General features: G+C 45.9%; 1 annotated feature.

The window, feature by feature from the left end:
- Nucleotides 4,771–4,820: an enhancer, noted in NCBI's record as "active region_19450". NCBI's record gives its function as "activates an Ori minimal core promoter by ATAC-STARR-seq in GM12878 lymphoblastoid cells {active_cell/tissue: GM12878}" and the evidence as "EXISTENCE:reporter gene assay evidence [ECO:0000049][PMID:35858748]".

The raw sequence follows: 12,028 nt of genomic DNA on the forward strand, positions 1-12,028 counted from the left end.
CGGGCGTGGTGGTGGGAGCCTGTTGTCCCAGCTACTTGGGAGGCTGAGGCAGGAGAATGGCATGAACCTGGGAAGCAGAGCTTGCAGTGAGCCCAGATCGCACCACTGCACTCCAGCCTGGGTGACAGAGCGAGACTCCGTCCCAAAGAAAAAAAAAAAAAAATTCTTAGCTATTCAGATAATTAAGAATGCACCAGATATTTAGGTAAAAGAAGGCTCTTGGAAAAACAGTCTAAATGTCCATCATTTTTTTTGGTGAAGAATCTACATGTGTGACATACAGAAAGATTTGATAAGACTATACGTTAAGGTGGTGGTTCTCAAAGTGTGGCCCAGGGACTGGCAGCGTCAGTGTCATTTGAAAACTTGTCAAAAAATGTAAATTCTTGGGCCCCATCCCACATCTACTGAATCAGAAATTCCAGGGTGGGACACAGACATCTGGATTATTTTTGTTTGGTTGGTTTTTTTTTGAGACAAAGTCTTGCTCTGTCACCCAGGCTGGAGTGCAGTGGTGCAATCATGACTCACTGTACCCTCAACTTCCCAGGCTCAGGTGGATTCTCTCACCTCAGCCTCCCAAGTAGCTGGGACTACAGGCACACACTAGCATGCCCAGCTAATTTTTGTATTTTTAGTAGAGATGGGAGTTCACCATGTTGGCCAGGCTGGTCTTGAACTCCTGACCTCGTGATCTGCCCACCTTGGCCTCCCAATGTACTGGGATTACAGGCATGAACCATGGCGCCCGGCCCATTTTTTGTAGAGATAGGATTTCACCATGTTGCCTATGTTGATCTCAAACTCCTGGGCTCAAGTGATCCGCCCACCTAGGCCTCTCAAGTGCATTCAAGTTTGGGAATCACTGCTCTAACCACTGTTACTAGAAGTTGTTTATGAGTGAGAGTATGAATATATTAATACATATGTTTTAGAGACAGTCTCTCTCTGTCATCCTGGCTGGAGTGCAATGGTGCAATCACAGCTCACTGGGGCCTCCAACTTCCGGACTCAAATCATTTTCCCACCTCAGCTTCCCAAATAGCTAGGACTATAGGTGGGTACCACTGTGCCTAGCAATTTTAAAGATTTTTGTGGCGATGGAGTCTTGCTATATTGCTCAGGCTGGTCTCAAACTCCTGGGCTCAAGCAATCTTCTGCTTCAGCCTCCTAAAGTTCTGGGATTATAGTTGTGAGCCGCTGTGCCTGGACTTAATATTCTTATATTTCCTGGCTTTCCTGGAGTAAGATTACATTACCAACTGATATAAGAAATACCTACTAAAATTTTATTTTGAAAAGAAGAAAAAGTAGGCCAGGCACAGTGGCTCACACCTGTAATCCCAACTCTTTGGGAGGCTGAGGTGGGAGGATTTTTTGAAACCGGAAGTTTGAAACCAGCCTGAGGAACATAGTGAAATCCCATTTCAAAATAAAAGCTTGGTCTGGTGGCCTGTGTCTTTAGTCTTGGCTACCTGGGATGCTGAGGTTTGCTTGAACCCAGGAGGTTGAGGCTGCAGTTTGCTGTGACTGGGCAGAGGCACTGGAGCCTGGATGACAGAGCAAGATCCTATCTAAAAAAAAAAAAAAAAAGAAAAGAAGAAGAAACAAGAAGGAAGAAGGAAGAAGATCCCGAGTAGAAGTGAAAGGGGAGAAAAAAGTTATGAAAACAAACAAAAAACAAGAGAAAAAAAAGCATTCTTATCTCCCCAACATAGTTTCTTCTCCTGCCTTAGCTTTCTCCCCACATGAATGGAATGGTATGTACTTATGAGGTTGATTGATATCCCTGTTATTTTGTAGCTGCTTTTGTTTTCATTTAGTATTGCACGGCATTCCTGTATGAGGGAAGTCTAGCTAAACTTTAAAAAACATTACACAGCAGCATTTCCCATGATGTCACAGTCTTCAGAATAAGATATATATGTGTGTATATATATGTATATATATGTGTATATGTGTATATATGTATATATGTGTATATGTGTATATATGTATATATGTGTATATATGTATATAAGTGTATATATGTATATATATGTGTATGTGTGTGTGTGTGTGTATATATATATATTTTTTTTTTTGTTTTTAGAAGACAAGTCTCATTCTGTCACCCAGGCCGAAGTTGCAGTGGCAGGATCACAGTTCACTGCAGCCTTGAACTCCTGGGTGCAAGTAATCCTCCCATCTCAGCCTCTGGAGTAGCTGCGACTACTGGCATGCATCACCACACCCAGCTAATTTTTTTTTTATATTTTTTGTAGAGACAGGGTTTGGCCATGTTACCAAGGCTGGTCTTGAACTCCTGACCTTAAGTGATCCACCCACTTCAGCCTCCCAAAGTATTGGGATTATAGGCGTGAGCCACCATGCCCAGCCACACCCAGGTAATTTTCAAAATTTTTGCAGTCATCATTTTTTTAAAAAGGAGACATTCAGGTTACTTAATAGAGTTGTGCCCTTGATCACCCATTTCCCTTAGTTGTTTCCAATTTTTCACCAACATAAATAATGCTGCCACCAATATTTGCACATACACCTTTTCCTAAATTTCAAATTATGTCCTTAGGATAGATTCCCAGAACCTGGGTTGCTGGATCAAAGGGTAGGAACATTTTTATGGCTTCTGCTGGGTGTTGCCAGACTGCTCTCCCGATGAGTGGCTACTGGTTTATGCTGCCGTTAGCGTCGTACAAGACTGCCAGTTTCCACTAGGCCTTCCTAGTGTGAGGTATTATGATTGAAAATAGTTTTGCTATTTTAATGAGAAAATAAACTACCTCTCCATTGTTTTAACTTTCTTTGGTTATGAGAGACAATTTTTTTTTTTTTTTGAGACAGAGTCTCGCTGTGTCGCCCAGGCTGAAGTGCAGTGGCACGATCTCAGCTCACTGCAACCTACACCTCCCGGGTTCCCTCAGCCCCCCAAGTAGCTGGGACTACAGGTGCCAGCCACCACGCCCGGCTAATTTTTGTATTTTTAGTAGAGATGGGGTTTCACTATGTTGGCCAGGCTGGTCTTTTTTTTTTTTTTTTTTTTTTTTTTTTTTTTGAGACGGAGTCTTGCTCTGTGGCCCAGGCTGGAGTGCAATGGCACGATCTCTGCTCACTGCAAGCTCCGCCTCCCGGGTTCACGCCATTCTCCTGCCTCAGCCTCCCGAGTAGCTGGGACTACAGGCGTGCGCCACCTTGCCCGGCTAATTTTTTGTATTTTTAGTAGAGACGGGGTTTCACCGTATTCGCCAGGATGGTCTTGATCTCCTGACCTCGTGATCCACCCGCCTCGGCCTCCCAAAATGCTGGGATTACAGGCATGAGCCACCGCGCCCGGCCCCAGGCTGGTCTTGAACTCCTGATCTCATGATCTGCCTGCCTCAGCCTCCCAAAGTCCTGGATTACAGGCATGAGAGACAATTAACAGCTTCCCCCACCCCTTAAAAATAAGCTAGTTAAGGCCGGGCGCGGTGGCTCACGCCTGTAATCCCAGCACTTTGGGAGGCCGAGGCGGGTGGATCACGAGGTCAGGAGATCGAGACCATCCTGGGTAACACGGTGAAACCCTGTCTCTACTAAAAATGCAAAAAATTAGCCGGACGCGGTGGCGGGCACCTGTAGTCCCAGCTACTCGGGAGGCTGAGGCAGGAGAATGGCGTGAACCCGGGAGGTGGAGCTTGCAGTGAGCCGAGATAGCGCCACTGCACTCCAGCCTGAGCGACAGAGCGAGACTCCGCCTCAAAAAAAAAAAAAAAAAAAAGCTAGTTAATACTTCTTCTTTAGTAAATTGGATTGGGAGGAAAGCTCTGGCATGCTCACAGTTTAACCTCTCTAAGCCTCAGTTTCTTCATCTCCAAAATGGAGTGGTACCAAAGTGATTGTAAAGTCAAGTGAGATAAAGTCTGGGGTAACTTCTTTTAACAGTGTAGGTATTCATTACCATAATCCCACTCAGCCTCAAATTTACCTAATATTTACCTGTGTATCATAAAACCTTCTGCTTTGTCAATAATCTTTTTTTTTTCCCCTTTTGAAACGGGGTCTCACTTTGTCACCCATGCTGGAGTTCAGCGGCATGATCTTGGCTCACTTCAACCTCCACCTCCCGGGTTCAAGTGATTCTCCTGCCTCAGCCTTCTGAGAGTAGCTGGGATTATAGGCGCGCACCACCACGCCCAGCTAATTTTTGTATTTTTAGTAGAGACGGGGTTTTGCCATGTTGGCCCGGCTGGTCTTGAATTCCTGACCTCAGGTGATCTGCCCTCGGCCTCCCAAAATACTGGGATTACAGATGTGAGCCACCATGACCGGCCAGCAATCTTGAAAACTTCCACCGCATCCCAAATCTTGAAAAACCTCTCTCTCTTTGTGTGCGTATGAGACAGAGAGAGAGGAGTGAGAGACAGAGGAGAGAGAGAGGAGAGAGAGGAGTGAGAGACAGAGGAGAAGGAGAGAGGAGAGAGGAGAGAGAGAGAGACAGAGAGAGACAGAGACAGAGAGAGAGACAGACAGAGAGAGAGAGAGACCTGAGGTCTTAGAAGACCTGAGGTCTTAGAAGGCTGGAGGCAAGGTCCCTCCTTTCCATTCTTTAATTTCCTCCGTTTTTCGAGGGAAACACTACGACTTGTTTGGAGTCTTACGGATAAGAGCCCTCTGTTACTAATGATATTAATAATGGCATCTGTTAATGAGGACGTCGTTATTATCTAACATTGGCAGGAGAAGAAAGCTCCGCGGCACAAGGGAGCAACCTCTCGTGTTCTGCAGACCCGATTTCGCATTTGGGAGAAGAGCTCTACTCCCCACAAAAGTCAGTGACACTCCAGACCCTGCAGAGACGCCTCCAGGGTGCGAAGTGGACTCTGGCCGACCTGTCAGGGGCAGCAGCCAGAATCCATCAGTTAACCACTCTGAAGGAAGTTTCTGCTTCAACGTTTTCCCCGTTGCTAGGAAACACTGCTTTGCCGCTGCTCATTGGTTAGCGCCCCCTCTTGTGTCTATGCCCTGTAATAGCACCCACAGTTGAGCAAACAGTAAAGACTAACACATGATTTAAATCGTCTTTATTGTGAAATATAACATACAGAAAAGTATCTAGGATATACATACAGCTTGGAAAATAGATATTGTGTATCTATTGTGTAACCACCACCTACAAAAACAAAGCATTGCCAGCGCATTAGACACTGGCCCTGCTTCTCTCCCTCCTTCTCCCCAGCAGGTGTTTATCTTTTCACTTTCCTTACAGTTTTATTACCTGTATGTATGTATCCTTTTTTAATATTTTATTTTCTTTGTTTTCTGGCTGCTCCTCCAATTTGCCCTGCTTGTTTCTGCCTCAGGGGCTTCGTACTTGCTATTCCTTCTGCCTGAAACACTTTTCCTCCAGACAGCCGCATAGCTAGTCCTTCACTTCCTTTGCCCAACGTCATCTTTTCAGTGAGCACTTCCCCAGCACTCCCTGTCCCCTGCTTTTTTTTTTTTTTTTTTTTTTTTGACACTGAGTTTCACTCTTGTCACCCAGGCTGGAGTGCTCACTGCAACTTCCACCTCCTGGGTTCAAGCGATTCTCCTGCCTCAGCCTTTCAAGTAGCTGGAATTACAGCCACCCACCACCATGCCCACCTAATTATTGTAGTTTTAGTAGAGACAGGGTTTCACCGTGTTGGCCAGGCTGGTCTCAAACTCCTGACCTCAGGTGATCCACCTTCCTCGGCCTCTCAAAGTGCTGGGATTACAGGCGTGAGCCACTGTGCCCAGCCCCCTCTTCTTACATAGCACTTAGCACCCTCTGACACATTTTTCTTACCTCCATCTTCCTCCACTAGAGTTGAAGCTACAACAGAGTTTCTCAGCTTCAGCACTATTGCCGTCTGAGGCTGGAGAATTCATTGTTATGGAGGCCTAGCCCGTGCACTGCAGGGCATTTGGGAGTATCCCTGGCCTTTACAAACCAGATGCCAGTTGCGCCCTCCTCACCATGGTTGTGACAACTAAAAGTGTCTCCAGGCATTGCCAAATGTTCCCTGGTTGGTGGTGCGGCAGGATGGTGGCCAGGGCAAAAATCACCTCACTGAGAATTGCTAAGACTTTGGGCTGGCTTTGTTTACCCCTTGTCTAAAACACAGTCAGGTAGCCAGTAAGTGTTTACTCATCTCAGTCTCAGCAGAGCCTGGCACACAGAGTGAAGTCTCAATAGAAGTTTGATGAATGAGGCCGGGTGCCATGGTTCATGCCTATAATCCTAGCACTTTGGGAGGCCGAGGTGGGCGGATTGCCTGAGCTCAGGAGTTTGAGACCAGCCTGGGCTACATGGTGAAACACCATCTCTACTAAAATACAAAAAATTAGCCAGGCATGGTGGTGCGTGCCTGTAGTCCAAGCTACTCAAGAGACTGAGGTAGGAGAACCGCTTGAACCCGGGAGGCGGAGGTTTCAGTGAGCCGAGACCATGCCACTGCACTCCAGCCTGGGTGACAGAGCGAGACTCTGTCTCAAAAAAAAAGTTTGATGAATGACTAAATGACTGACTGAATGAATAAGTGACTGATTGAATGAGTGACTAAATGACTCACTGAATGAGTGATACAGTGACCTCAAGGGTTGACAGCTGCCTTTGAATCTTACCAAATTATTTCCTTTAGTTTTTACTCCAACCAAAGAGTGTTGGTGTGGGAAATTCATCAAGAATATAGGCTTGAGGTCAATTGAAAGGAACCTTGCCTATAATCCCAGCACTTTGGGAGGCCGAGGCAGGCGGATCAACTGAGGTCAGGAGTTCGAGACCAGCCTGACCAACATGGTGAAACCCCATCTCTACTTAAAATACAAAAATTAGCTGGGCGTGGTGGTGTGTGCCTGTAATCCTAGCTACTCGGGAGGCTGAGACAGGAGACTTGCTTGAACCCAGGAGGCGAAGGTTGCAGTGAGCCAAGATCACACCACTGCACTTCAGCCTGGACAACAGAACAAGGCTCAGTTTCAAAAAAAAAAGAAAAGAAAAGAAAAAGAAAGAAAGGGATCTTGTCAAGGTTCCCCTGGGACACCTTTCTTAGCCAAATAACTTGAAAAAGTTTTCTACACTCCATGTCTACATGTTTCTACTCCCTCACCAACTAGGCTCGCTCACTTGACTCCACCCTGAACTCTGCCCTTAGCACTCCCCTGAAACTGCTCTGGATCAAGTCACCAGTGGCTTCCTTGTTATGAAACCCATCAGCACTGCAAAGATGGAGTAACAGAGACTGGGTTTGCCTCCCACTGGAAACAACTAAAAATCGGACAACACATGTGAAACAACCATTTTTAGACATTGGACATCAGACAGTGGAAGGCTGTGACCCCCAGAGAGGGGAAGCAAACGATGTGAGTTCCACAGTTGCCCTGGTCTACAGGCTGCAGTGCAGAGAAGGTGCTACAGACTGAAGTGTGTCCCCCACATTCATACCCTGAAGCCCTGACTCCCAATGTAGCTGTATTCGGAGATGGGGCCTATGAGGAGATAAAGGTTAAATGAGGTTATAAAAGTGGGCCCTAAGCTAGGTGCGGTGGCTCACGCCTGTAATCCCAGCACTTTGGGAAGCCAAGGGGGGTGGATCACAAGGTCAGGAGATCGAGACCATCCTGGCTAACACAGTGTAAACCCCGTCTCTACTAAAAATACAAAAAATTAGCCGGGCATGGTGGCGGGCGCCTGTAGTCCCAGCTACTCAGGAGGTTGAGGCAGGAGAATGGCATGAACCCAGTAGGCAGAGCTTGCAGTGAGCCGAGATCACGCCACTGCACTCCAGTCTGGGCAACAGAGCAAGACTGTGTCTCAAAAAAAAAAAAAAAAAAAAAAGTGGGCCCTAAACTGATAGGGCTGGTGCCCTTAAAAGAAGAGACTCTAAGCCTGGGCAACATAGTGAGTTCCTATCTCTACAAAAAATAACAAAATTAGCAGAATGTGGTGGCACGTGCCTGCAGTCCTAGCTACTCAGGAGGCTGAGGTGGGAAGATTGCTTGAACCCAAGAGTTTGAGGCTAAAGTGAGCTATGATCGCACCACTACACTCCAGCCTGAGCAAAAGAGTAAGATCCTGTCTCTAAGAAAAAAAGACGATGAAAGACATTCTCTCTGTCTCTGTTTCTGTCTCTCTCTTTGCCATGTGAGGACACAGTGAGAAGGGAACCATCTACAGGCCAGGAAGAGAGCTCTCCCCAGAAACTGACCATGCTGACACCTTGATCTTGGACTTGCCAGCCTTCAGAACCATGAGTAATAAGTTTATGTTGTTTAAGCCACCACCCAGTATGTGGTATTTTGTTTTTTGTTTGTTTTAGAGACAGAATCATGCTGTGTCACCCAAGCTGGAATGTAGTGGCACAATCATAGCTCACTGCAGCCTCAAATTCCTGGGCTCAAGTGATCCTCCCACCTCAGCCTCTCAAGTAGCTGGGACTACAGGCATGTGCCACCACATCCAGCTTTCCAATTTATGGTATTTTGTTATGGCAGCCTGAGAAGACTAAAAAGAGTAGCCCAGGCATGGTCCGATGATCTTACTGGATTGAAGAGATGGGGGTCTGGGGAGGTGAAGGCCACTGAAGTTCTCAGAGCCGACCACCACAGCAGACACTGCTGCAGAGAGAGAGCGATCCCTGGACATCTCCAGAGGGTCCTGCTCATGTCTTCAGCTGAGTGCTGATCAATGCATGCATGAGACAAGACTCAGCAGCATTTTTCATTCTTCACTTACTTTATTCCTCAGAAGTTCTTGACACAACTAACTTACCTCTTCTTTTTTTTTTCTTTTTTTTTTTGAGATGGAGTCTTACTCTGTTGACCAGTCTGGAGGGCAGTGGCGCTATCTCAGCTCACTGCAACCTCCACCTCCTGGGTTCAAGCGATTCTCCCACATCAGCCTCCTGAGTAGCTGGGATTACAGGCCATGCACTACCAGACCCAGCTAATTCTTTTTCTTTTTTTTTGAGACTGAGTTTCGCTCTTGTCACCCAGGGTGGAGTGCAATGGTGCAATCTCGGCTCACTGCAACCTCTGCCTCCTGGGTTCAAGTGATTCTCTTGCTTCAGCCTCCCAAGTAGCTGGGATTACAGGCATGTGCCACCATGCCTGGCTAATTTTTGTTTGTTCATTTGTTTGTTTGTATTTTTAGTAGAGACGGGGTGTCACCATATTGGCCAGGCTGGTCTCGAACTTCTGACCTCAGGTGATCCACCCACCTGGGCCTCCCAAAGTGTTGGGATTACAGGCATGAGCCACCACGCCCGGCCACCTCTTCTTCTTAAACCATTTCTTCCCCTTGGCTTCTGTGAACCCCTTCTTCCTGTTTGTTTGTTTGTTTGCTTCTTGTCTTCCTGTCCACACCTTCTGGGTTTTCTTTTCCTCAACCTGAGTTTTAAATGCTGAGGGTCTTCAAAGTTTGATCTTCAGCCCTATTCTCTTCCTATTCCACATTTGGTCCCCAGCACCTCACATAATGGCCGCCACATACTAGGAACTCAAATATGTATTGATTTCCTGTTGTTCAGGTAGGTGTTCACAACTCCTAGAGTGTTGTGAGGCTTTTCACCTGTTTCCCAGCCCCATATATCCAACTGCATGAGACGTGCATCCTCTTACATGTCCCTTAAATACCTCAAAATCATCACATCCAAGATAGAATGTGTCATGTGCTCCAGATGTTCCTCCCCAAATACATTCTGTTCTTTCATGACACTGGAGGCAGGTTGGAAGCACAGGCACTCCACTAGAGACTACATTTCCCAGCCTCCTTTGCGGTTAAGGGTGGTTAGTGACTAAGTTCTTATGGTAGAATGGGAATTAAAATGATGTACACAATTTCTGTGTCCTTGCTTAAAAAGAATTTTCTTATCTTCTATGTCCTCTCATCTCCCTGCCCATAGACCGGAACGCAGACAGAGTGACCACTTAGCTTTGATCCTACAGACTAAGATAACCCTCTAAGACACAACTGAGCCACAGATGGGTCCCTGAGTGACTATGTGGAGCAGAGTTATCCCACCAGTCTGGACTGCTCAACTCTGGAATGCTACTGGAAGAAAAACAAAGTCCTAATTTATTTAAGCCACTGTATTTTTGTATCTCTTTGTCATAAAGCTGAAAGGTCTATTCCTAACTAATCTACACACAAACCTGCTTTCCCATCCACATTTAGAAAAGAACATACTGTCATTGCTGTATGACAAGCTTCTTAGGCTGTAAGGAACAGAAATTCCAACTCAAATTGGGTGAAAGAAAGAGGGAAGTTTCTTGCTTCATAAAATAGGGTTAACTTCATGGGCAGCTTGATCCAGAAGGTAACATTGTCATCAGGGCTTGGTTTCTCAGCTTCTCTGGGTTCTACTCCACTTCCTGTAGACTCATTCTCAGACTGGCCCCTATATAGAGCAAGATGGTGGCCATGATGCCAAAGTTCACAGCCTTGCATCATGAAATGCAACAGAGAAGTAGTTGCTTCTCTTAGAAGCCCCAGCAAAAGTCTCCGTTTCAATGATCTATTGCAGTGTAATAAACCATTGCAAAGCTTAGTGGCTTAAAACACAGCAATTTGCTGTTTTTCATGATTCTTCAATGGGGTCTGAGCGCAGCTGTGCGGTTGAAGAGCAAGGGTGGAGAAAGAAGAAGAGGGACAGTGGGGAAAGGGGACAGAAGAACAGGGACAGTGGAATGTGGAAAAGTTGGGGAAGGGGTGGGTGGGGAAAGGGGAAAAGTGGAAAGGGGGAAAGAAGGGGAGCAGTGGGGAAAAATGGGGAGGAAGGTGGGGAAAAAGGAAAGAAGAGAGGACAGTGGCAAAAAGTGGAGGAAAAGGTGGGGAACAAAGGTGGGGAAAGGGGAAAGAAGAAGCAGGACACTGGGGAAGAGAAGAAAAAAGAGGAGAGGCAGGAGCTGTCAGGCCTCTTAAAGGCCCGCCTGGGACAGTCGCATGTCACTTGTGCTATAGTCCGTTGGTCAAGGCAAGTCACCATTCCATCTGAGATTGAAGGGGAGAGGAAGCTGACTGCCACTTGATGGCAGGGGCAACACATGCACCCAAGGTGAGTGGAGATTGGTGGCTTCATCTTTGGAGACTAGCTATTTGATGACCTGTTGGTTCTGTTCAGTTCTGAGCCTGAATTAGTTGGTTTACAGACTATGCTGCTGTGCCAAAGACACCCAAAAATGGGAGAAGGAAGAATAGACTCTGGCGGACAGCTAGTGCTTCTGTCTTGTGCTCATGAATCAATGACTAGAATAGGCTGATTGGCAAAATGCCAGTCAAGACCCATCCTTTGGGCTAGTGGTGGGGTCAACCCTCCCAAAACTCACTGGGTACAGGTTTTATTTATTTTTACCTTTTAAAAAATTGGGATATAATATGCAAAATGTAAAATTATAACCATTTTTAAGTGTGCAATTTAGCAACAATAAGTACATTCACGAGGTCTTGAAATCATCACCATTATTCATCTCCAGAACTTTTTAATCACTGCAAACAAAACACTCTGTACATGTTAAGCATAACTCTCTATCTCACCCTTCCCTCAGCTCCTGGTATCTTCTTTCTGTCTCTATGAATTTGCCTATTCTAGGTGTTCATAAGTGGAATCATACAATATTGTGTGTGCGTGTCTGGCTTATTTCACTTAGCATTATGTTTTCAAGGTCTATCCATGGTGTAGCAGAAATCAGGATTTTATTCCCTTTTATGGCTAAATCATATTGCATACAATGGATAGGCCACATTTTGTTTACCCATTCATCTGTTGATGGACACTTCGGTTGTTTCCACTTTTTGGCTATCATAAACACTGATGCTATGAACATTGGTGTACAAGTACCTCTTTGAGTCCCTATTTTCAATTCTTTTAATTTTTTTTTTTTTTTTTTTTTTTTGACAGAGTCTTGCTCTGTCGCCCAGGCTGGAGTGCAGTGGCACGATCTTTGGCCTGGCCAACATGGTGAAACCCCATCTCTACTAAAAATACACAAAAATTAGCTGGGCGTGGTGGCTTATGCCTGTAATCCCAGCACT

The sequence above is a fragment of the Homo sapiens genome, chromosome 3 (assembly GCF_000001405.40).
Source record: "Homo sapiens chromosome 3, GRCh38.p14 Primary Assembly".
Taxonomy (NCBI): Eukaryota; Metazoa; Chordata; class Mammalia; order Primates; family Hominidae; genus Homo; species Homo sapiens.